Source organism: Homo sapiens, chromosome 4 (assembly GCF_000001405.40).
Source record: "Homo sapiens chromosome 4, GRCh38.p14 Primary Assembly".
NCBI lineage: Eukaryota > Metazoa > Chordata > Mammalia > Primates > Hominidae > Homo > Homo sapiens.
In genome coordinates, this window is record NC_000004.12 from 162,021,168 (window position 1) to 162,048,652 (window position 27,485).

Sequence of the window (27,485 nt, forward strand, 5' to 3'; positions counted from 1 at the left end):
AATGGATACAGTATAGTCTATACTGGCTACTACTAGGCAACTGCAAATAAGCATTTTTTTATATATAGGTCTATCCCAAAATAGAAAGGTTTAACTGTATTGCATTGAAATAGGATTCATAGGGATAATTTTAAGAATGACAATCTCAAGTAAAAGCAGTACAATTAGTTACATTTAGCTTCAAGCGTTTATTAACAGCACAATCTTGGCCAAGTATTTAATCTCCAAGACTCATTTGCCTTATATGTAAAATTATACCTCCTTCCCAAAGATATTTTTCAATATTTAATAAGCTGAAGAAATAAACAATAGGTTTATGAAACATGGTAAGAGATTTATAAATATTAGCTCTCCTTTAAATCCTTTATAACACACACAACAAAAACACAAATACACACACAAATAAATCATAACCAATAGAATACTACCCAGCCTTAGTATGAAAGAATGAAATCATGTCTTCTACAGCAACATGGATGGAATTGGAGGTCATTATCTTAAGGGAAACAACTTAGAAACAGAAAGTCAAATGCAGCATGTTCTCACTTAAAGTGGGAGCTAAATAATGGACATAGAGTGTGAAATAATAGACATTGGAGATTTTGAAAGGTAGGAGTTTGCTGGGTAAGAGATAAGAAGTTATGGCTGGGCACGATGGCTCACACCTGTAATCCCAGCACTTTGGGAGGCCGAGGCGGGTGGATCACGAGGTCATAAGTTCAAGACCAGCCTGGCCAATATGGTGAAACCCGTTTCTCCTAAAAAATACAAAAATTAGGTAGGTGTGGTGGCGGGTGCCTGTAATCCCAGCTATTTGGGAAGCTGAGGCAGGAGAATTGTTGGAACCTGGGAGGCAGAGATTGCAGTGGGCCGAGATTGCACCAGTGCACTCCAGCCTGGGTGACAGAGCAAGACTCTGTCTCAGGGAAAAAAAAAAAAAAAAGTTACTTAATGGGTACAATGTAGACTATTTGGACTATTTGGGTAATGGCTACACCAAAAGCCTAGATTTCACCACTATGCAATATATTCATGTAACAAAACAGCATTTCTACATTTTACATTTAAACAAGTAATTAAAAAACCACATCTATAGCTTCATATTACAATTGCATTAATTATATATTACTTACATAATATATTAAACATGATATGTCATACAATCTATAATATTGCATTTCATATATTAATATTGTATATTAACACTGTATATAATTTACATATATCCTCCATACCAAGAGTTTTAAAGAAACTTAAAACACAATTTATTAAAAATTATAATAGATAATAATGTTCTACGCTGTCCATGAAAGGATAGCAATTTGTATGGCAAATTAGAAAGATTGCCATATAAAGAAAAAAATAAAACGTAATGGTACCTTCTAGGGTAAACCATAAGTTAGACTCCTTTGTGTTCTAAGTCATCCTATTAAAGTCATTGCTGCTTCATATCCCTGAGAGAATAAAATGTTTATGAACCCCAAATAGGGCCAACAGGTGACACAGAGCCCTTTCCCTTTATGAATTCATGCAAATTACATCATGACAATTATGACTTAATCCCCAGGATTCTAAACCCCTGGAAAGAGTTTTAGGCACAAGATTAAGAGGTGGATGGAACTGGAGGTCATATCTTAAATGAAACAAGCCAAGCAAAGAAAGTCAAATATCACATATTCTCACTCCTAAGTAGGGACTAAAAAATGTGTACACATGGATGTAGAGAATGGAATGATTGACAGGTAATGAACACTCAAAAGGGTTAGAAGATGGGAGGAGGAGGATGATGAGAAATTAGTTAATGGGCACAATTTACATTATTTGAGTGATGGGTACCCCCTAAAAGCCCCAACTTGACCACTATGAAATCTGTGCCTGTAACGAAACTACACGTGTATCCCCATACATTTGTACAATTTTTTTAAAAGAGACCTCTCATGGTCTCAGGATTTACAAGAAAAGCTACCTGATCTTTTTAGGTGATTTTCGTTACTTTCCGGAAAACAGGGACTATCGTGTGGTATGGTAAGATTTCCTAGGACCTGCAATCTAAGACTCAGGAAGAAACGATTTTTTAATTTTGTTCAGTAGTGTATCTCCAGTGCTGAAAACAATGGCATATAGTTGATGTTCAACACTTAAGTCTGAATAAGTGACTGTATGAAGCATTACTACATCTAAGTTAAAAACTTCTTAGAATTATGTTTGCAAGCTAGATTGCACCGTCTGGTTTTTATATGTGCCTAAACCACACACATGTTTTCTCTACCCTTTGGGCTTAACATCTTGTACCTCCTGGTTGTCACTGTCTGCATCAGTCTTGCAGATGAATTTGCTTCCCAGAATCTTACCAAAAGAACAAAGTATTATCAATCTCTGATCATACCTTGGTACTTTACATTTCCATACCCAATCCCTAGTTGCTCTTAGTTCTAGAATGAACTGACACATTGATCAAAGATCTTTGTGCCAGACTATAGAATCTGCACTATTTAAGTAAAAGAGATTTATTAAGGGATGTAGAAAATAGCTGATAGGATTGAAGAAAAGGTTTGTGTAGTGAGCTGTTAGAAATAGCTTTTAAAGGTCCATCATAGAACTGGGACATCAAAGGATTTGCTGCCCCTGCATTATCAGAATTAACCATAGGGGAAGACTTTTCCCCTACCTTCTGGCCTCTGGCTTCAGAGCCACACTGCCTTTGCCATTATCTGTGAAAGGAAAATGGGTATCCCACAAAAATGGCCTGGGATTTCAGTAAGTCATTCCATAAAAGACCCTGCTTGCATAAATCTGATAAGAGAAATGTCAAGCAAATCTAGAAGGCTAACTGCAAAGGGATCTGGGAAATGTAGCTTTTAATTTACTAGGCCCTGTAAAAAAAGCCTATAAAAAGGAAAGCATGCCATTTGGTGTTTGAAATGGTTAAGTGAACCATTTCACAGAATCCACCACAGAGCATATGCAAACTTTATTTAAAAAAGGATATTCACTAACACTTCTAAAGCAATACTGGAAGTTTTTCGCAAATATACTTGCATATGTAAAAATATTCCGAATTCACATATACCAAAATGGTAACAATTGTCATTTTTACATGATACATAGATCATCAATATTTACCTTCTTGTGAATATATACAATTCTTCTGAGGGTTATATAAAATAACACAGAACTTGGAAAGCACTTGACAGAGGACCTGACAGATATTTTGTCTTTACTTTTTATTTCCCTGGCACCTAACACTGTTTCTAATATTTAAATTAATACACATTTGTTTAAGTAACCTTCATTATCTGATGCAGCTGAGCTTATCATTACCTTTTCTTTTTCTGAATTCTTCTGGCAAGCTAACATTACCACAACATTTGGGGCACACAGCAGTTGTTTCTAAATGTAGCAGTAGTTAACTACAATCAATAGTTTAAATTAAGTAATTAAGTTTGTTTCTTGTGTTTTTTTTAAGAATGTCAGATAAATTCCTTTATTTATTTATTCATTTATTTATTTTAGAGACAGGGTCACATTCTATTACCCAGGCTAGAATGCAGTGGCATGATCATAGTTACTGCAGCCTTTAACTCAAGTGGTCCTCCAACCTCAGCCTCTAGAGGGACTAAACTACACACCTGCCACCATGCTAGGCTAATTTTTTTTTATTTTATTTTTTGTAGAGGCAGGGTCTCACTATGCTTTTCAGGCTGGTGTTGAACTCCTGACCTGAAGCAATCCTCCAGCCTCCCAAAACACTGGGATTACAAGCACGAGCCACTGCAACTTGTCCTAAATTTAAATATATGTCATTATTATAACGTCAAATTCGTACTCTGAGAGAATAACGCTTTACTTCCCCCAAAATAAGGAAAATATCTTCTATATATATTTATGGTCAAAGTACTGTCTACTGTATTTTTTTTTCATTACAGTGCTCCATGCATCATGGTAAAAACAAGATAAGAATAGTGTTAGTCTAAAAATAAATATGACAGGACAACTAGAGGATACTTAATATTGGTAGGTCAGGTAACTTCAAGTTTGGAAAATATGTGAATTGTAACTTATAACTTTGTAAAATAATGATTCGACATAGAAGTCAACACTTCTTGAACTCTAATTTTAACATTATATGAAATTGAGGCTTTTGATAAATATGTTTCTATCATGGATGTACTTAAAACATGATTTTTTTGCATTTTACTCAAAAGGGTTATAGTTAACTTCATTTAATACTTCAAACAGCACTTTGTGGCATATTATATTTACATTACAGGTTAGAAAGGGAGATTAAGAAATCTTAAGTGGGGGATAAATAACTGAGTCTAGTATTCAGAGTCTAAATTCTGGGATAAAGGATTATGTAGAAATTTTTCAATAGCACAGAGCACATTTGAGCAGAATTTCCACTCATTTCAAGTGTCCTGTGGATAATGATTCCATGCACCAATAATTTAAGAAACAATGACATAAATTTTAGTAGAATGATATTATTACTTATTGTCTAAGTAATTCAAAATAGTTATTACCCATGTAATGAGTTGCAACTGTGAAATATATCTTATAATTATTTAAAAGGGATATTATTTATTTTTTGGCATAATAGATAAAACTCTAGTGTATCATATTTAAACAACAAAAAAATCCGTCTATCTACTTAGTATCATAGAAGTCATAGGTATAATACCACTTACAGAATTGCAAACTTTTTTATATGAAATTTTTACATTAATAATTCTAAAAATATTTCAAATAACATAAAAATACTTAAAATGCACTTAACTAAATGCTAAGTTCTTAGGTAAGAAGGATATTCTAAAAAATCCAAGCAAATATACTCTTTTATAAAGCCAAATTTCATGTTTATAGTGTCTGGACAGACAAAGCAAAAAAAAAAACGGAAATGTGATAGAATGTATAATTTTTATTGGCAAATAAAACAGGGATTTTTGTAAGAAAAAAATGCAATATTCATATGAACATTTCAAGAGCTGCTCTTTCATAAAGGCCAACCATTCTAGGTAAGTGAAGTTATTCCTTCAAGCTAAAGAAATGAAGCCATCAAACACATTTTGGTTATTATTACTTGATATTTCTTCAAACATGACATTCAATTATTTCAGGAGACAGCTTATGTATTTTCTTTTTTTTTTTTTTTCTTTTTGAGACGGAGTTTTCCTCTTGTCCCCCAAGCTGGAGTGCAGTGGTGTGATCTCGGCCACTGCAACCTACTTCTCCTGGGTTCAAGCGATTCTACTGCCTCAGCCTCCTGAGTAGCTGGAATTACAGGTGCCCACCACCACGCTTGGCTAATTTTTGTATTTTTAGTAGAGACGGAATTTCACCATGTTGGCAAGGCTGTTTGGAAACTCCTGACCTCAAGTGATCCACCTGCCTTGGCTTCCCAAAGTGCTGGGATTATAGGCGTGAGCTTATATATATTTTTTTACAAACCTTCCACTAGAAAGCATTTAGCTCTCTGTTAAGTCTAGAATCAAGAAATCTTGTTTTGGTGATTGAAAGAACAATATTGCGATGTTAGTGTGTAGGTTAAGACAATATTGATTTATGCAAATAAAAGCCTACTTAAGCATCTGAATACCATTCATTTTATATCCAATGCAGATTTCAACAAATTCATTATTTATTATTAATAGAAAAAAACCTAAATCAATTTATTCTGTGTTGTTTCCCCCAACATCGCTAATGTGTTGATATCTTTTTAATAGCACTGCCTTCTGGTGGGCAAAATGAGCTGCAAAATAAATCACACTGAAACCCAGACAAATGATCCATTGGATAAGAAAATTTATTGGTGGTAACCTTTTGAAAACTAGAGGATATATGCAAAATGGGGAGAGAAAGATTATGTGTTTGCATAACATGAATTGAGCCCTTCTTAGAATAAATAAGAAACATGACCAGTTACTTTTTGAAAACTCTTCTGGTTGATGAAAATGGGATTATTAGATAGAGAAGGATGTTCTTCTCCCTGCTTCCTGTGGCAGAAGGACATCCATCAGGATCATTTTAAATTGTAACAACTTATTTCAATGAGTTTTTTAAAGGATGGAGAATAAATACTACCCTTATACCTAGAAAAAGTTATTACTTACATTGAGATCTATACTACTTGAAAGCAATTTAGAGAGGTATTTACTTAATTTACTTAATTTTCTTTTATAGAATTGGTTAATGTTTTATAGAATTGTTAATTTTGAACAATTGCTAATTATTCATGGTTTTATAGAATTGTTTATTGGAACTGAAATTATAATTTTGAATGTTTGTCAAAGTACCAATTATTATCTTATATATATAATGGCTTTCAGAATTTGTACTCAACGTTTTACTATTTTTATTTCAAAAACTTGCATTATCACAAAAACATAAATCTCACTCACATAAAGACATGACATATTTTTTAAATAGTAAAGATCATAAATGGAACAGATGTCAGCTAATGAAATCAGAAAATCTTTCAATGAGCTCATTATAATTGAGAATTACATTTTTAATTGATTTATTTGTCAACAATTTGCATTTGTATTGTTAAGTCAAGTATAAAGTTAAGTATTTTGAAATGTTTTAGATTCTCTTATTGGTAATTAAAGAGTTGCCAGTTAATCATCTACTATCAAGTTATGCATATGTGACACTGATATTTTGCTGTGAGGTAAGTAATACTCATGAGAGTGCATTCTGCCCTCATTTAATTTGAAAATTGATTTTTAATAAAATAAATCCGAGAAAATAGAATTGTTCTCATAGAATGCAATTGCTATGACATAAAAATTATAGTATAAACCATTTGTTGTCCTCTCACATTCTTTTACAACACTTAATTATTTTTTAAGAATTATTATTACAAATCTACCATAAATAAACTTGTCTGATGTTTATTCAGCATTACTGCTTGATAAAAACAACCAAGAAAATAAATCACGAATCTCTTGATTGATATTTTCAAGGAGTAAGTTTTCTCGTCTTCTAGGTACTTGAGGATTATAAGTATTGAGTATAATAGACAAAAATACTTAATTTTCATAAATCTTACAAACAATGATTAACTTCAAAAATAACTTTTTGGACTAAAAGTTAACAAACATATAATTCATAATAATGCATGTATTGGCCAGGTGAGGTGGCTCATGCTTGTAATCCCAGCACTTTGGGAAGGTGAGGAGAGCAGATCACCTGAGGTCAGGAGTTCGAGACCATCCTGGCCAACATGGCAAAACCCCAACTCTACTAAAAATACAAAAATTAGCCAGGGGTGCTGGCACGCATTTGTAATCCCAGCTACTCACAAGACTGAGGCAAGAGAATCACTTGAACCCAGGAGGCGGAGGTTGCAGTGAGCTGAGATCTTGCCACTGCACTCCAGCCTGGGCAACAGAGTGAGGCTCTGTCTAAATAAATAAATAAACAAATAAAGAATGTATTGCAGTTCACTAAAAATATAGTGACTATGCATTTCATGAAATTGTAATAAACTCCATTTCAGGTATTACTTATGCTACTGGCTATATTGTATTTTGTAAATATAAAGACATGCAATAATTTGGAGAGTCTCATATAGGGCTAAAATACATGAATTGCCATCTTTCAGTTTTACAGGACATTTTAATCAGTCAATGTAATATAGCTAATGGCTTTCAGTACTAAGAATCTGAAGGCCCATTTCTATCTATTCACCATTTCTGACTGGCTACTTGACCTTGAAGTAGTGAGCCAACCTCAGAAACTGTGAGATTAATCTACTAGAAAGAGCTCTGAATATTCAAGCATTCCAGATTTGGAGTTCACTATTTCCATTCTCACAGCAACACCCCTCTGACTTGATTGATATAAATATATGTCCCCGGATACATTAGGCGATTTTCAGTGCTCTGAGGTGCCAATATAAAATAAAGAAAATAAAGGAGAATCTGAACACATGGTTGCAAAAAAATAAACTGAAAGCAGTGTATATGTACATGAGGGAGAGAGAGAGAGAGAGAGAGTGTGTGTGTGTGTGTGTGTGCGTGTGTGTGTGTAGACTGCAGGCGCCATAATACATTTATTGTCCCAAATACACACTTTTAATTTGATTAGATATAGTCTTAACATAATATTTTCCTATGGTTTCATATACATAAGAATATTTGCTTTATACGAAGAACAACTGTGTGGCTTCCCCTTTTCATGTACATCAATATATATGACATAATACTTGTCTCATTGAGCTTATAGAGGATTATAGAGTTTTGAATGATAAATGTTTATAATAATACCAGTGTTTAATGTCCTTGTAAAATTATAAGCCTTAGAATATCTTATATGTAAAGGACTTTTAACATCATGGATATGTTGTGCTAATATTTACCAAAAAAGATGAATCATATCAAGGGAGGTTAAGTCACTTCTCAAAGATAAGTAATTAGTAAACAACCTGGCAAAAGTCCTAGACACTTTCTTAGAACACTATTGTGATGTGTTTATCATCATCGATTTTTTTTCTTAAAGTTATGAAGCACTGAACAGTAATTATGTAAATTTGCAAGAGAGTCAATATTTGTAACCACAAGATTAAAGGAAACTAACACATAAATAATAAAATTCATATCTATAAAATTTATGATAAAAAGTATCACTAATAACAGTATGCTAAATGTACCTAATGTACAGTTGGTAATTTGTTAAATAAAACATGATCTATTTTAGGAAAGAACAAAAATGGCAATATTGATCTAAATTATTTCCTTTTTTTTTTTTTTTTTTTTTAAGAGACAGAGTCTTGTTCTGTCACCCAGGCTGGAGTGCAGGGGCATGATCTCAGCTCATTGCAAACTCCTTCTGGCTTCAAGCTATTCTCCTGTGTTAGCCTCCTGATTACAGGCATGCGCTACCACGCCTGGCTAATTTTTTATTTATTTATTTATTTTTTTACTAGAGATTGGTTTTCACCATGTTGGCCAGGCTGGTCTTCTGGTCTTGAACTCCTGACCTCAAGTGATCCAACCACCTTGGTCTCCCAAAGTGCTGAGATTACAAGTGTGAGCCACCATGCCTGGTCTGAATTATATACTTTGGATATGATTTCTCAAAATGCTGGCATGTATGAAAGCTAAGTCTTATTTAATAATATGTATTTGAAGATTAAAATGAGATGATATATGTAGAAAACTCAATACAATGTCTGAAATCTAATAGATACTTATGAAAATATAAGTATTAAAATACATTATATGGAAGTGGTCATTAGGGAAATAACTTTAGAGGTCAGTGTCTCTTAATTGCAGAGTCTTAACCAAAATATAACTGGAAATGAAAAAAACATACTTTATTTTTATCACTTCTGAATGCATAAAGGCAAGAGTGTCCACTTGAAAAAACAGGAGGAGAAAATTTTGCAATAAAAGCAACTGAACTTTTTCGGTGGATGGACAGTCCAACATCCTTTTATTTACGGAGAAGGGTAAGGCTGATACTGAGGAGCATGCAAGAGTGCAAGAGCACAGGCACTTTCCACAAAGGATATTATCATTATGGTTGTCATAAATCTTTTAAATTATTTCAAAAATTAAAAACTTTATTAAGTTGGCAGACTCTGTAAGTTATTTGTAAACCAATAATTACTGAAATCTCAAACTCTACTACTGTTTTCTCTGAGAACTCTAGAGAGATGCTCTCAAATATAAGTGAATAAAGAAATCATAAATTTAAATACTTCTGTAAAAAATATTAGGGGTGAACTAATTGTGTTTCTTATTCTAGGTATGTTCCTCAAAGGAAAACATTGTCTAATAATAGTTACAAAATTCTCAATGCATTTTAAGCACTTAATGTACAATATTTTAACATGTTTTATCTGTTGTGTTACTGAAGAACACTTTACTAAATATGGCTACCTGGTAGTTGACCCTTACTTTCAAATCTGTAGGACTATCTCATTTTTCTATTATAATCTTCAGTGCAATTTTATGGAAGGTTATCTTTAACAAATGTTTTATGTGTTAATAAAAGTTCAGGGCACTGGTATCATTACATTGGGGTTGCTGTCATTAGCAGAAATAGGCACAGAATGCAGAAAATAAGACTTCTAGACATACTCCTGACAATGTAATAAATGTGTTTGAATAAATGAAGTTAACAAATAGCCAGGAACTTCAAAGAATTACTAGCTGATAACTGATTACTAATATCAAATGAGGACATAGCTCACATTTCAATAATTAGTAATCAATGAATATAAAATATTTGATTTTCAGAATTTTTGTCATTTGCCAATGAGTAAGCTATAGCTTTCATGGTTGAAAATGGGTTTTTAATCTTTTAATATTAACATCTGAAAACATTTTAAAGAGGTCATTCCTAATTTCTAGTAAAATAACATTTCAATATGATTCCCATAAATAGTCAAGAAAAATGTAGTGCTTTTCTAAGTAGAGATAAGCAACAAGTCCTCATGTAAACATGTATCTCTGATTTACTTAAAAGCCAGGAGTCTAGGGCCGGGCGCGGTGGCTCAAGCCTGTAATCCCAGCACTTTAGGAGGCCGAGGAGGGAGGATTATGAGGTCAAGAGATCGAGACCGTCCTGGCCAAGACAGTGAAAGTCTGTCTCTACTAAAAATACAAAAACATTAGCTGGTCGTGGTGGCAGGTGCCTGTAATCCCAGCTACTTGGGAGGTTGAAGCAGGAGAATCGCTTGAACCCAGGAGGCAGAGGTTGCAGTGAGACGAGATAGCACCATTGCACTCCAGCCTGGGCAACAGAGCGAGACTCCATGTCAAAAAAAGAAAAAAGTTAGAAGTCTAAAAGCCACAATGTGTGTGAAAGTTCTGAACCATGTGCTAGCTAATAATAGTGAAAGGAGTGACAAGCATCATCTTGAAATTGTTATTGCATTATAAAAGAAAACATATTCCTAGATAGTAGTTGGAAAAACATAATTTCTACTACTTCAGATGACATGATTTATATACCCCAAGGCAATAAAGTATCAAGTAGAAAGCTACACTACACTTATTTTTACTATAAGTAAAATAAGTTATTGTATTTTTACTATAACAGAATACAAATATGATTTAAGATAAACCTGAAACCCTGGAACCCTTCATGAGAAGGAAGATGCATACTCAGTAAGTTTAAATGCATATATCATTCAAATGCACATCATACAGCACATCTTGAAGTAAAAATTCCCCTTTTCAACACAATAGTATAAAACTTGGAGTTAATATGAGTGCTTTGAGTATAAATAAGTGTAATAATTTCGCATATAAAATAACAAGCGATACTTCAGTTTGCTGAAAATGCACAGAAATAGTTTGGGAATCCCTGGAAGAACAGTCTTACATAATTCATTTGAACAAAATATATCTAGCAAAATTATTTAAAAACGCAAATGCATGTGTTTTTTATTCTTCAGCAATATAGACACACAGATGACCCAACATGGAAAATAATATATTGTAAAAGTCATTCAGTTGTGGGGAAATGTGCAGAGAGGATTCTATTTGGACTTGTTATAAATAAGCAAGATTGTATCAACAATCTAGAGAGCCTCTGAAGTGTAACTACCCTTTCAGCATTTCAGAAGACCATGTAAGTTATTAAACTACTTCATATTTATTTTTTAATTTTTGTAGAACACTGAAAAAGGTAAAAACAGGATATATATCTTTCTATTCAAAAAGGAGGGAAAAAAACTGGACAATTGTGCTTCACTTCATAGACAGGCTTGGGGCCGGGATGCCTTTGGGAAGGGAAAGGTGAGCAAGGAAGCCCAAAATGTAGACTAAGAAGAGCCAACAAGTGAATGGAGATGCCAGAGGGATCAACCTAAGAAAAGGTTGTGATATGCCATCATTATAATCAGCAGAAGCACAAGTTAATGGAAGTCATTTACTGAAGGATGACAATCTACATAGAGTAATTTATTATCTCAATGAGTAAACTTCAAAATTTAAGAATGTGACTATAGAGAAAAGAGTCTTCCAACATTAGAATAATGTGGACTATGCCATACTAGGAGCTATTGCCAACTTTTAATGCATAAATATGTTCTAGCCTTTTTGTAGAAAATTAACTAGATGGCAGTGACTAAATAGTTGGGTCTCCATGAGACACATTTTGAGGAAGTCCATTTGCCAATACATAGAAGTGACACAACACCAACTCGTAGGGACAATGGTTGGTGGAGGAGTTCAACCACCACAATATAGGGAAAAAACAATAACAACAAAAAAGTTGACGTTTTCAAGAGCACAGTATGAAGATGGAAAACATCAACAGAGAATACCCTTTGGCCCTGGGGAATCCTCATAGGGCTCAAAATGGCTGTAAAATCACACTGAATATTTTTAATTATCATTATTTTCTCATTTTTGACTTTTTATTCAAAGTAGCATCACATATCTTTTTTCTTTCTGTTATGAACTTATATAATTGTTATCTTAAAGCAATCATTTCTTACCTTTGACTCTTGAACTTTCTTGATTTTTTTCCTGCTGGAAATAAAACAGAAAATAGGTCAAAATATGTAAGTAAATATGTGATCAACTGTTTCATATAAAGTTTCACTATAGAAGTATCAAAATGATTTTTGTACATATTCCCAGGAACATGATTCTCGCCTTTAAAAAATATTTACATATAATTTTTTTTTGAGAGAGCATTTTGCCCTGTTGCCCAGGCTGGAGTGCAATGGCATGAACATGGTTCACTGCAGCCTCAACCTCGCAGACTCAAGTGATCCTCCCACCTCAGCCTCTCAAGTAGCTGGAACTACAGGCACATATCATTATGCCAGGCTAATATCTTTTTTATTTTTTGTAGAGACGAGGCTTCCTTATTTTGCCCAGGTTGGTCTTGAACTCCTGGGCTCAAGGAATCCTCCTGCCTCAGCCTCTCAAAATGCTAAGATTAGAGGAGTGAGTCCCCATCCCTGCCTTATATAAAGTATTTTATTGGAGTAGTAATAACTCTTGGTGGGCATATAATTCTCTAAGAAATCACTAAATTGTATGAATATGGATTCATAAATAAATAAACAAATGGTTAATGAATAATAAATAATCATGCCTCTCAAATGCCTTAGGCCATTCCATTTAATTCTAACAGATATTAAATAATGCCTTCAGAATTTGCTTTCAATGGCTCTACATTAATCATAAATTGTTGGTGAAGGAATAAGTTTAGGCACAAACATCGGGGAGAATTTTACTAAGAAAACACAAAAGACTTTTCAACTGTCTTTGCTTTAGTTTAACTTAGAATTGGACCCCATCTCAATTCTTTAAGGCTAAAGTTGACAACAATTCTATGATTTATTCAAAGGCTGCTCCAGTCAGACTTGTCTTTCAGTTTGACATTCTCCTTATTAGTTACCGGGCAACCCCAAAAGAATTAGCTTGCTTTCAAGTTTTAAAGTGAATATTGTGCACTAACTTCTCAATTAATATGCAAGCACAGTTTACTCCGTCTAAAAGTTTCAGGGTCTCACACTGAAAATAACTTCGAAATATGTTCCTAAGAAAAAAATGACAATGACATATAAACTGAACTGCAGAACTGTATGAATGCCAATATATTTTGGCAAAAGAGTAGGAAAATATAAAGAACTGATTTTGCTGCAAAAATTAATCCACAATTTAGAATTTGAGAATAAAATGCATAATGACAAATGTGTATTTATTGAATCAGCTAACTTAGTGATATAATTCTGTTAGACTTTAAAACTTGGTGTTCTATTTCTCTCATCTAAACTCACCCAACCTCTGTGTTTGAATTCTGTTCTGCTCTTTATTAATTGTTTAATTTAGAGTATCTGTTGGTCACTTAAACTAAAATTTAAATGTACATTACTTGTATTAAAAATACATTAGTTTTTCATAATTCTATAACTAGTAGGGTTAAGTTTTCCGAAAGGACATTTGTTAATGAGAATCTCTCTCTCCCTCCCTCTCCTCTATTAACATTCATTCATTCATTCAGTCAGTCAGTCTTTTATTCATTCATTATTTCACCAAATATGTATGGATCACTTTTTTATGTGCCAGACACTATTCCCGTTGATGAGACTATACAGGATGAACAAAACAGAAAAAAATTGTGTCCTCATGGAGCAGACTGCATAAATTTTATTCAGAAAAGATATGCTACAGAAGGTGACAGTGTTGGAGTGGAGTGACTGAAATTATACATGTAGCCACAGGGATAAATTGATTTTTGAATAAAATTCTGAATGAGGTGAGCATGATCCAAGCATATATATGTGAAAAAACATGTCCTAGGGGAGAAAAAAATTTCAAATTGTCCTGAGTTACATACAAGAGTTCTTAGCATTGTCAAAAATATTAAGGAGATCACTGTGTGTGGACTGGATCAAAGGAAGGAAATTTAATAGGAAATACAATCTGGGCAGTAATAGGAGCCAGACAGACTAGCACTTGGGGCATTTGGTAGGACTTTGGTTTTTACTCTGACATAGCTGAGAATACATATACATTTCTTCTCAGGGGGTAATATTATCTGAATTACTTTTAAATAGAATCATTTTGGCTGTCTATTAAGAATAGGTTGAAAGGGCAAGGGCAAAGTCAGGGAGGCCATTAAAGAAGGTATTGCAGTAATTCAGGTGGGCTGTGACAAAAACATAGAACAATGTGGTAGCAGTGTATTTGGAATACCTACTTAGAGCAAGGTTTGCTGATACATTAAAGTTTTGCTGTGAGAGAGCCAACAAAGATGACTCCAAGGGTCTGAGCTGCTATAAGGATAGAGATATGTACTTATTCCTTCTTCACCTGTCTTGCAGCACTGCCACACTCTCTGAGATTTTCTTCTAGTTCCCTGGCTAACCCTATTGAGTCTCCTTTACTGCTTCCTCTTTTCCTAAGCACTAGTGTCCTAGGCATTGAGGTCTTATCTTTCTTCCATATAGCTCATTCTTTTAGCAATCTCGTCTAATCTCTTAGCCTTAAGTCTCGTTCTATTGCTAAGGATTTACATATCTAAACCAACCTCACCATTGAACTTCAGACTCACTTATTCAACTGTCTTTTGACATCCGTACTTGGATTTCTAATAACATGGCCTATCTGTAATGTTTCAAACTGAATTTCTGACCTTCCCTTACTTTCTTGACCATCTTTTTCATCTTAGTTGTAGGTAACTCCATTCTTCTAGTCGTGCATATCCTTAGTGTCACCCTGTGTTACTCTGTCTCTTGAGAGATAATAAACCTCAAATTTTCATTAGTATGATTTTTAAACATGTTGACTTTGAAATTACTTTGACTATAATTCCAAGGATTCAAAGTAGGTAGATAAAACTCACAGGACGTATTTCAACCAGATACATAAAGTTGGAAGCCACTAGCATATGCATAAATTATCACTCTATAAATTAGAACATAGAGTAGAACTCACTGATCTATAACTGAGTATTGCAAAATGTATAAGAAAAATATAAAGTTGAATTAACCAACAAAAGAGGATGGAAGCATAAAAAAATTACAGGAGAAAAATCAAGAGATCAAGGAATTATGAAATCCCAAGGAACATATTATTTGGAAGGAAATTTTCAATAGTACAGAATTATTCTGAGAGGTGAAGTACAATTATGTCTAAGAAAATGCCCATTCAATATATTGACATAGATAGAATCATTGACTTTAGATAAAACGTTTTTTGGTGCTCATATGGGATTAAATGTCCAGTTCAAGTTATCTAAGGAAGGAGAAGAGGGTGATTGAAATTTGTACAAAGTGGGAAAAATTACATGATGGAAATATGACTAGGAATAAAAAGCCTGTTATGGAGTGTAGCTGGAAACTAAAGTCCATAGATATTATGTTTGTTGTTTATTGGCCTTTTGCTTTATTTTGTTTAGTTTTGTAATATTACATTATTATTTATATCACTGAGATTTGAGAATACATAAATGATGGAATATACCTGGTAGAAATTGAGAGGATTAGGATAAAAAGAAGAGACAGCATGACTGATTGTATATGGTTATTGAAAGGGTGGGTGTGATAGAATATAATTGGGGGCAAAATTTAGATAGAAAGAAGACCAGTCTCTGTAATAGAACAGGTGGGAACAGGAAGGCTTAGTCATAGATGCAGGAGGTTTCTAGGTTTGATATGACGAATTAAACATATTCAATCTTGATTTATTTTCTTTATGTAATAGAAGGAAAGGTGGTTGGCTAATTGTGGAAGCTGAGTGTTTTGTCTGAAATTTGAGAAGATGGAGAAGATTTTAAGTGCATGGCTTTTTGCGAGAGTAGGTGAGAAGAATCACACATACAGCTTGGTATGATTGAGCCAATCCTAGTTGAGTTTTGTCGTCATAAATTTGTAACAATCTTAGGCTTAGTTTACCTATAGTTGAGTAGGCTTTTTATTGATATTATATTTCACTGTATTTGTTTTCTAAAATCAAGTTCTCTCCCATACAGTTTTATATAATTATAAATTACCAATGCAAATCTGTCTAAATATTCTATAAACAAGAAATATTTAAGAAGCATGAATTTGGAGAAGGGAAACTAGTAATTAATTAGTGGACTGGAAAGAATGACAATAGATTTGCAAAGTGAGAAGAAAACTTAAGGGTAAACTCCCGCATTACTGTCAAAGTTGTATAAACCCCTTTCACTGGAGACTTATTTAGGATTTGCAAATAATAACTGTTCCAATTTGCTTCTATTACTTTAATGTTACATTATTCACAATGGCAATACAGATTTGCCACAATTGTATTTTACAAACTATAACTTCATGTTCAAAATATTTACTTTAAATGAGAAAACATTATAAAGAAAATTGTGATTATTTAACTATGTGAGAACTCACGAGTGACCAGAAACTTTTGTTGTTCTGTCCACACGATTCATTTGAAAAACATTCTTACATTAGGAAGACTTAGGTCTTGTCCATAATAGCAGAATGTTTATATTTCTAGGTATAACTTAATTTTAACATTCTTTCAAAAGATTTTCTAATAAAGTGAACTTGACTTAAAATAAGAAATATATTTGGTTATGTGTCAAAGCTAAATAATAGCAAACTATTCGTGTTTTACATTGTACTATGCTATTTCTTGGAAGAATTCCAAAGTGCTGTATATTAATTACATCAGCATACTTCATGAAATCCAGTCCAGTAATGTAAGATGGCTAAAAGCTTTAGCAGACAGTATGATAAAGATTAGCAAAGACAATCTGGGAAGAAGTACGGTTTTATAATAAATACAAGAGTCAACAATATGGTATCTTAAATATTTTTAAACAGAAATAAAGTAAATGTAACGTAACTAAACCAATGTAAAATTCAGTCAAATTGGGATACACAGTAGTTGTACAAATGAGCTGTAAGTGGTTCTGAAGCATCTAAACAAACTGGAGTTTAGCAAATAACACCAAAGTACCATGTTGCTAGTCTTTTAACTGGGCTGAATGTGACCACACTAGGAGATATTAAGGATATTTCTTTTCCAGTATCTGGATTTATGACATAATGATTATTAACATTTGATGATGGCTATGTTATAACGTGAAAACGGATTTCTCCTGAAGAAACACTAAAAATTTCTGGCTACAATATCTTCAAACATAATTTACCTATTTCCTTCCTTCTCACTGAGAAGCAAATGCTCTCTGGAAAGTGAAGAAATCATCTAAATGCTAAATGCTAAGTGCATCATCTCCACCATAACAGCATTGAGGTAGTAAACATTAGACTATCAATGAATTGTCCTCCCTTTTCATACTATAAGCTTAAACTATTTTAAGGGAGAGCCATAAAGTCCACACAGATAATACCCACAAATACTCTTTTATAATATATATACATATGATGTTACACGAATGAGACTAGTCATGTGCTCTCTGATCAATACCAAGACTAATACAGACTTCCTTTCACATGGAGAGACATAAGAGTGAAGCACATGCAGACAGAATTGAGTTGGTCTCCTAAAGAGTTAAACTGATGCTCTCTGACTCTGAGAGACTATACATAGTACTTTTCACTATACATAAAAATAACTTGCTTATATAAAAAAAGAAGTAGAAGATATCAAGTAGATATAAGGCAAGGTTCTTTCCCCTTTTAGTATGGGAGTAATCAGGAAAAAAAAATCTAGTTTGCTGTTGTTTTTCCTGATCCCCATGTGACTTGTTTGCATTTGGTCACTAATAAAAAACATATAGTAAGACGATGTTATTCTAGATAATTAACAGAATTAACATGACTATTTTTAAAAACAAGTCAAAATTAAAAGGAAAATCCCTGTGAAAATTTCTTCTATCTCATTGCAGCAATACTGGAAAGTTATTTTCTTTTTAAGAAATTTCCTGTTATGCAAACACAGCATTTCCTTTAGTTGAATAGGTGGCATAAGTTGAGAAACTATAAAGTCCAGGAGAAAAAAACGCACTACTTGTGATTTTTCTTTGACTAATATGTACAATAAAGCACATTCAAGCTGTGTTTAGCTTGGCTAAATGCTGAAAATAAGTTCATTTCTCTCATGGGATTTGAGAAAACTCAAATGTGTAGAAGACTTTCACTGGTATATCGAATAAAGCCCAAAATAAATCAATAAACATAAAATTTACAAATTAGCAAAAGATAGAAATAAATTCTGCAGTAGTCAAAAGTGATATGTTCTAGCTAAAGTAATATTTCTATCAATCCATATTATCCATAGGTCTTCCTACAGTAAACTGATGATATAATTCACCAAAGTGTCCTTATGTATATATACTTCAGTGCTTAGTTGTGAGTAGGTGATTTTAAACTTATGAATAATAGTCAATAGATCCTAACACTGAAAATAGTCAATGGATAAAAATAAAGTTTATAAAAATATAAATTTTGTGGGAAATATACATAGAGGTAAACCTTACTAATTTTAGCAGGCTGACTAGTTGAATTTCATTCTCAGAACTCTTCCCTTCTCTCTGATTGTAATTATTACTTCCCAGACAAATGCTACCAATTAAAAATGGTTTTAAAAGTGATAATTTGCAGCAGAATACTCACATTCATCACAAATTTGTTCTCATGTGCTATAAGGGAGAAGTATAAAATACTGAGGTGTTTTAAAAGATATTGTTAGACCCACTAAGTAATATGGATTGGAAATTCATGGAACTTGAGAATAGGAGAATGTCTCAGTAGATCCAGTCTCCAATAATCCCACAACAAATTTATTCTGTGTTATTCTGACACATGAATACTCATGAACATGTGAGCTTCCCTCCCCAAAGCCACATACATACACACACATATAGGTTCACACACACGTGCACACACTTTATCAAAAACAACTATTTTGGCGGTGGCAATTAAATTATAAAAATGCCTCAAAAATAGAGGGGAGACAGTGGGCATAGAAAAAAATGCCTGAAAAATAGAGATATGGTCACTCAGAATCCACTATATCAAGTGTACTCAAACTTGGAGTCATACATATATTATCAGTAAACTATAAAGCTAAATTTTCAGTTCTACTTTGTTTAATCAAAATCTTATCACCTTTTATTTAAAATTCTTTTTCTTAGAATTTGAGTCATATCCCTGATCCAGTCTTACCTCCTCAACAAGGCCTTCGCTGAACATTCTATCTAAATCAGCACCCCCATTATTATTTATCTTTTTTTTTCATTTTTCACAAAAGTCACTACTTCTAAGAATAATATATGCTTGTCCATTGTCTGTTCCTCCCACTGGATTGTATCTTCCATGAAGAAAACTATTCTGCAGTCTCAACTGACATATCCTTAATGTCTTAGCCCCTGCAAGAGTGGACACTTTTCCAACAGAGTCTTTGAACTCCAGAATTCAATAGTCAGGTGGAGGGATAGGCAGAGACACACACAGATATATGCCATAAAATGTGATATTCAATAGTGGAATTATGTATCAAATCTAGATAGTACAGTCCAGAGAGGAATGCAGGCTTTCTTAACTTGGGCAGCTGAAGGTGAGCTGTGAGAAGGTGGGAACTGAAGAATTTATAGAGAAAGATGAGATGGTAAAAAAAAAAAAAAAAAAAAAAAGGAGTTTATCTCCATAGCAAAGTGTAAAAGCACATTCTGTCTAGAGGACATAGCATAGACAAAGTTATAGATTCAAAAGAGTGCATGATAAGACTGCAAAACAGCAAATAGTGTTGTTGCAGTAGTGCAGAGTTGGAATGGTTAAGTTACTAAATAAGGTTGGGCAAGTAGTATGTTTCAATGATTCATGGAGAAATGAAAGTAATTTTCTTATGTTGGTAAGAAATGTCATTAGATTTATTAGTAGCCTAATGAATATATATATATATAACACAATCTGGAAAAGTTATAGAGTGTCAGTCAACAGTCAACCAACTTCTCCTTCAGTTTAATATTTTGATGTGAAGTTATTCATTCCAATGCTAAAATTGTAGTTGCTTCTTATTGTATATTCATATTGTATTTGCTGTGTTTATGTAATTTTCAGTAAGAAAATCTAGAGAGAACTTGTGATTGGGTTGAGATATTCTCAGTATTGCCCCAAATTATAAAGACCATAAACAAGATATCAATGACATGCACTTGACAAAAAAAAAATCAAACTAGGACAGAATTTACCACCAGAATTTTAAAAAGTTGTATTTTTATTTTATTGCATACATATTCTGATGTTACATATTACATTTAGAAGTTATATGAAGCAGGCCTGGCACGGTGGCTCATGCCTGTAATCCCAGCACTTTGGGAGGCTGAGGAGGACGCATCACCTGAAGTCAGGAATTTGAGACCAGCCTGACCAACATGGAGAAACCCCATCTCAACTAAAAATACAAAATTAGCCTGGTGTGGTGGCGCATCCCTGTAATCCCAGCTACTCACGAGGCTGAGCCAGGAGAATCACTTGAACCCAGGACACGGCAGTTTTGGTGAGCCGAGATCACGCCATTGCATTCCAGCCTGGGCAATAAGAGCAAAACTTCATCTCAAAAAAAAGAAAAAAAAAATGTTATATGAAGCAAATTCATGTGTGTCTAAATTGAAAATAATGGGAAAATATATTTCCCATTATGGGAAATATTACTAATGGTTTAGAAGTAGTTGGAAACATCAGAAAGTTTGTTGTTGTTGTTGTTTGCTTGTTTTCACCAAGATCATGTATGTTCAAATCCAATGAATATGACATATAAACTCAATCAAAACATGCAGTGTCAAATAGAGTCTTTAAGAATTTTCCCAGTGTCAAAATGGACATCTTTGGTTCATGGACTCATGAAAGACATAGACACACTGACTTTTACACAGTGAGAAGCTGTGTAACAGACTGGGTTAAGGAATTACGGTCATTTAGGGCAGAAAAGATAGCATGGATAAGGGATGGATCAGGTAGTGAGATATGTTAGAAAATAACACAAAGTCTCATATTAAGCATAACAGATAATTGAAATAGTGAAAAGGGAAATTATATAATATACTTTTAAAAAACCTATCCATGGTACCCACACATATAGGCACTCCTCTCCATAATAAATTAGAAACATTTATTTCTCAATGTATATTAATTTGAGGATTTGAAAAATACTATGGAAAAGAAAATGCAGCCATACAAAATGATGAGTTCATATCCTTTGTAAGGACATGGATGAAACTGGAAATCATCATTCTCAGTAAACTATCACAAGAACAAAAAACCAAACACCGCATATTCTCACTCATAGGTGGGAATTGAACAATGAGATCACATGGACACAGGAAGGGGAATATTACACTCTGGTGACTGTTGTGGGGTGGGGGGAGGGGGGAGGGATAGCATTGGGAGATATACCTAATGCTAGATGACGAGTTAGTGGGTGCAGCGCACCAGCATGGCACATGTATACATATGTAACTAACCTGCACAATGTGCACATGTACCCTAAAACTTAAAGTATAATAAAAAAAACAAAACAAACAACAAAAAAGAAAATGTTCTTTAATGTGTGATATAAGATTTTAAAAGTTATGTACATCCTTCTTACAGCATTATTGTTTTGTACTACTAAGCTTTGACACGAACTATGGGGAAGATCTAAAATTAATATACAACCATACCTCAAAATATTGCAGGATCAGTTCCAGACCACTGCCATGAAGTCAATATTGCAACAAAGTGAGTCACCTGAATTTTGCAGTTTCCCAGTGCATGTTATGTTTACACTATACTATAGTCTATTAAGTGTGTAGGAGCATTATGTGTAAAAATCAATGTGCATACTTTAATCAAAAGTACTTTATTGCTAAAAAATGCTAATGATCATATCAGCCTTCAGTGAGTCACAAGTTTTTGCTGTTGGAAGGTCTTGCTTCAGTGTTGATAGCTGTCAACTGATCAGAGTGGTGGTTGTTGAAGGTTAGGGTGGATGTGGCAATTTCTTAAAATAAAAAAAAAATGAAGTTTGCTGCATTGATTAATTCTTTCTTTCATGAAAGATTTCTCTGTAGCATGTAATGCATTTCATGGATTTCATCTAGAGTAGGACTTCTTTCAAAATTAGTCAATTCTCTCAAAGCCTGCCACTGCTTTATCAACTACGTTTATGTAATATTCTAAACCCTTTGTTGTCATTTCAACAACGTTGACAGCATCTTCACAAGGAGTAGATTCCATTTCAAGAAACCACTTTCTTTGCTCATTCATAAGAAGCAACTCTTTATCTATTCAAATTTTACTGTAAGATTGTGGCAATTTAGTCACATTTTCAGCTTCACTTCTAATTCTAGTTCTTTTGCTATTTCCACAACATCTGCAGTTACTTCCTTCACTGAAGGGTGGAATCATGGGAAGTAATCTATGATGCTGGAATCACCTTCTCCAAAACTCCTGTTAAAGTTGACATTTTGACCTCCTTCCATGAATCATGAATGTTCTTAATGAGATCTGGAATGGTGAATCCTTTCCAGAAGGTTTTTAATTTACTTTGCCCAGATCCAGATCCATCAGAGGAATCACTGTCTATGACAGCTAAAGTTTTACAAAATATATTTCTAAAATAATAAGAATTGAATGTCAAAATTATTCCTTGCTTCATGTGCTACAGAATGAATGTTTTGTTAGCAGGCATGAAAGCACATCAGTATCCTTGTAAATCTATATCAGTGCTTAAGGGATGACCAGGTACATTGTGAAAGAGGAGTAATATTTTAAAAGGAATCTTTTTTCTGAGCAATCGTTCAATAATGAGCTTAAAATATTCAGTAAACCATGCGGTAAACAGGTGTGCTATCATACAGGCTTTCTTCTTTCGTTTATAGAGCACAGAGTGATTTAGCATAATTCTTAAGGACCTCAGGGTTTTCAGAATGGTAAATGAGCATTTGTTTCAACTTAAATGCTGCTTCCCCAGCAGCATTAGCCCCTAACAAGAGAGTGAACCTGTCCTTTCAAGGTTTGAAGTCAGACATTGACTTCTTTCTCGCTAAGAAAGTGGTGAATGGCATATTTGTTTTCATAGGAGGTTGTTTCGTCCAATTGAAAAATCTCTTGTTCAGTGTAGCCACCTTCATTAATTATCTTAGGTTTTCTTAATAACTTTCTGCAATTTCTGCATCAGCACTTGGTGCTTCGCCTTGCACTCTTATATTATAGAGACAGCTTCTTTCCTTAAGCCATGTGAACCAACATCTGACAGCTTCCAACTTTTCTTCTGCAGCTTTCTCACCTCTCTCAACCTTCACAGAATTGAAAAGAGTGAGAATTTTGCTCCAAATTATGCTTTGGCTTGGGGGGAGGTTGTGCTTGTTTTGATTTTTTAGCCAGGCCATTGAAACTTTCTTCATATCAGAAATAAAGCTGCTTCACTTTCTCATTATTCATACATTCACTAAAGTAGCACTTTTAATTTTCTTCGAGAACGTTTCCTTTGTACTCACAACTTGGCTAAATATTTGGTGCAAGAGGCTTAGCTTTCAGCCTGTCTCGGCTTTTGTTATAACTTTCTCAGTAAGCTTAATCATTTCTAGCTTTTGATTTAAAGTGAGAGACATACAATTCTTCCTTTCACTTGAACACTTAGAGGCCATTGTATGGTTATTAATTGGCCTAATTTCAGTATTATTGCATCTCAGGGAATAGGGAGGCCTGATGAGAGGGAGACAGATATGGTAACAGCCGGTCTGGCAGAGCAGTCACAACACACACATTTACAGATTAATTTCAATATATCATAAAGGTGCAGTTCAGTTCATGGTGCTCCAAAACAGTAATAATTGTAACATCAAGCTCTCTTCCTGATTTGATCATCACAATTTCATGCTTCTATCAAAATACCACATGTACCCCATAAATATATACAAATATTATGTACCTGTAATAATTAAAAATTTTTAAAGAGATCACTTATCACAGATCACTAGAACAGATATAATAATAATGAAAAAGTTCAAAATATTATGGGAATTATCAAAATGTGACACAGTGATATAAAATAAGCACATGCTATTTTTAAAAAATGACACCGACAGACTTGCTTAACACCGGGCTACCACGAACCTTCCATTTATAAAAAATGCAGTATCTGCAAAGTGCAATCAGATAAGGTACAGTATAAAGAGGTATGCTTGTTGCTAATAGGCCACTTTTCCAGTTATTAACTGAAATGGAAATAAAATAAATAATTTTTTAAATGACTGGACAATGTTTGTTAGTATTCTTAGGCAACATTCCCTAGTGAAAGAATTAACTTGGAAACATTTAAAGGGTGTACCTATTTAATTTTACAATATTTTACGAGTTTTTTAAGAGGATAATGAGGAAGACAGCATTTTTCATATATATGAGACACATTCTAACTAACTCACTTTTAGATATCCTGTCTATCTCATTTTTGTCTGCAGAAATTTTAAATATCATTGGAACACATTAAGTTTCTTATTATCATCTTGCCATTTTAGTAGGCTATTGACACACTAAATAACCACTCACTATTGGAACACGGGTTTTTTTATTTGGAACGTACATGTCTAGCACTGTGCTATTAAATAGGGGTTAACTATAAATAACGTAGATGTCTGACCTCTGAAGTTCATATTCTATCTGGAAAGACAAATAGCTATTACTTACAACACAATGTTAAAGAATTTATAGGGTGATGTGGAAACAAGGATGTGAGGAGCAGCTGCATTTGCTGAGTTATGGGGTAAAGGGAGAGTCTCCAAGCGAAACTGTTACTTGAGCTAAGAATTAAAGGATGGCAAAGTAATTTACTCGGGGAAAAGAGCATTAAGCTGCACAAAGGCACAGAGTTGTAAACTCTTTAATCTTTTGGGAGAAACTGTGGACAGTTAAGCATAACCAACTGCATACTTCTTTGGACATGAAGATTATATAAAAATACATTCAAGAAAGTTTTCTCCTGGTTCCAGGAGAAAATTTATGCCTGGCTAAATATTATAGCTGAAGCTATTTGGTAAAGAGCCACATAAATTAAATAAACATGCCAATTATTATAACAGTATTTTCAGTGTATTTTTAGAGTGATAAATAATGATGATTTTTAAAAACATAAATCACTAATGAAAAGATTTGTAATTAATGGAAATATAAATAATGAATTAATGATTTGGTTATGAAAACTAGTGAATTTGTATGATTTAAAATGTAGACATGTACACATATGTAAGAATTCCTTCTATAATATGTTTATCCCTTAATAGATTTGGGTTTCTAATTTATTAAGTCTGCAAACAGCCCATAAGTAAGAGTTGTCATAGGAATCTAATTATTTGGTTTGTGAATTCCCAGTGACTGAGAGTAGAGTATGCCTTATCTAGTAATATAAATTTTAGACAGACAACAAATAAATAAGATATATTATTGAAAATATGCTTTGCACAAAAATAACTATACTCTATGATATAGAAAATACAAAGACTTATTTCCAGATACCCCCAGGTAAGCCCAAACTAACACAAGACACTCTGGGCACAGGCAACTAAGCTTCTTCATAAGGAGATAAACAGAAAGTAGGTCAATAGCATGGAGTCTCAGTACAGACACACAACCTGTGCTCACCCTGGGAGACAGAGAATTGGTTGTAGATCTATGAAAATAGTGTTGAGACTAGTTTTATTAGTTGGGAAATGATAAAAATAATAATGATAAGATGAAAACACATATCATTCTTACTATGTAGCATGCAATTTTTAAGTTCTTTACCTATTATCTCTTTTAAGGTGCCCAAAAATCATGGTCTAGTTTTCCCTGCTTTCACCCTCACAACTGGAGGGTTCATGGAGCTCTCCAGGGGATGACGGTTGTGCCATGCAGAGCAGCATTTCTAAGCAAGTGTGAGTTCATGTGAGTAGAGCCAAACACGAGTCAAATTTCCATTAAAAAAACTATGAGTTCCGCGAGGTGCGGTGGCTCATGCCTGTAATCCCAACACTTTGGGAGCCTGAGGTGGGTGGATCACCTGAGGTCAGGAGTTTGGAACCAGTCTGGCCAACATGGTGAAGCCCCATCTCTACTAAAAACACAAAAATTAGCGTGGTAGCAGGGGCCTGTAATCCCAGCTTTTTCGGAGGCTGAGGCAGGAGAATTGCTTGAACCTGGGAGGCGGAGGTTGCAGTGAGCTGAGATCGCACCACTGCACTCCAGCCCGGGCAACAAGAGAGAAACTCCATCTCAAAAACAAAAACAACAAAAGCAAACAACAACAACAAAAAACTATGAGTTCGCCATATAGTATGTCCTTAAAATAAGTAAAAGAATATTTGACAGGATTTTCATTCCTGTTTTGGCAGGTACATAGTAAAGGTTATCATATAAATCAGCCTAATTTTAACCAAAAGTTGAGTGAGCCTGGAGCATTATGTTTACAATTGTTCATGTTAAAGCCTATTCCCAGCCAGGTGTGGCGGGTCACGCCTGTAATCCCAGCAGTTTAGGAGGCTGAAGCAGGACTATCACTTGGGGTCAGGAGATGGAGACCAGTCTGGACAACATGGTGAAAACCCATCTCTACTAAAAATACAAAAATTAGCTGGGTGTGGTGGCACGTGCTTGTATTCTCAGCTACTGGGGAGGCTGAGGCAGGAGAATTGCTTGAACCTGGGAGGCGGAGGTTGCAGTGAGCGGCGATGGTGTCACTGCACTCTAGACTCCAGCCTGGGCGACAAAGCAAGACTCAGTATCAAAAACAGAAACAAACAAACAAAAAAACACCTATTCCCTTGAAAAACATACAATCTGCTCTCAGGACTAAAACATGCAAGATTTAGAAAAAAGAAAACCTTAGAATAATTTAAATTGGTAACACTCAAGAACATGTTATAAACAAAGATATAATTATGGTGGTAAATCAGTCATATAAGACCTTCACTACTATCAGTATTATTTTCTTCCTCTTTGGGAAAATGTTGACTTACTGCACATGTACATTTAATACCATTATACACATACACACACACACACACACACACACACACGAATGAGACAAATGTGATTGAATTTA

The 27,485-nt window shown here is 34.0% G+C and overlaps 1 protein-coding gene and 1 long non-coding RNA gene across 5 annotated transcripts in view, besides 2 other annotated features; one reads left to right on the forward strand and one right to left on the reverse strand.

Moving 5' to 3' along the window:
- The window catches only part of FSTL5 (follistatin like 5), a 780,104-nt gene that overhangs the window by 637,271 nt on the left and 115,348 nt on the right, over positions 1-27,485 (reverse strand). For 2 of the 4 annotated variants that reach the window (NM_001128428.3, NM_001128427.3), the window contains exon 3: positions 12,458-12,488. In NM_001128428.3, coding sequence (NP_001121900.1) covers positions 12,458-12,488 — 31 coding nt within the window. Of the gene's footprint in view, positions 1-12,457; positions 12,492-27,485 lie in introns of all 4 variants that reach the window. The other 2 variants (XM_011532126.1, NM_020116.5) reach the window with 1 other exon arrangement.
- FSTL5-AS1 (FSTL5 antisense RNA 1) lies at positions 1,566-26,383 on the forward strand. The gene is made up of 6 exons (NR_125888.1): positions 1,566-1,742; positions 11,411-11,586; positions 14,043-14,232; positions 20,687-20,924; positions 22,016-22,144; positions 26,206-26,383. It is a non-coding gene; the product is annotated as an FSTL5 antisense RNA 1 (long non-coding RNA).
- Positions 7,206-7,375: an enhancer, noted in NCBI's record as "experimental_75539 CRE fragment used in MPRA reporter constructs". NCBI's record gives its function as "activates a minimal promoter by MPRAs in K562 erythroleukemia cells, with activity observed for both the introgressed and non-introgressed 4:162949610 variant alleles {active_cell/tissue: K562}" and the evidence as "EXISTENCE:reporter gene assay evidence [ECO:0000049][PMID:34662402]".
- Positions 13,401-13,570: an enhancer, noted in NCBI's record as "experimental_75545 CRE fragment used in MPRA reporter constructs". NCBI's record gives its function as "activates a minimal promoter by MPRAs in K562 erythroleukemia cells, with activity observed for the introgressed 4:162955805 variant allele {active_cell/tissue: K562}" and the evidence as "EXISTENCE:reporter gene assay evidence [ECO:0000049][PMID:34662402]".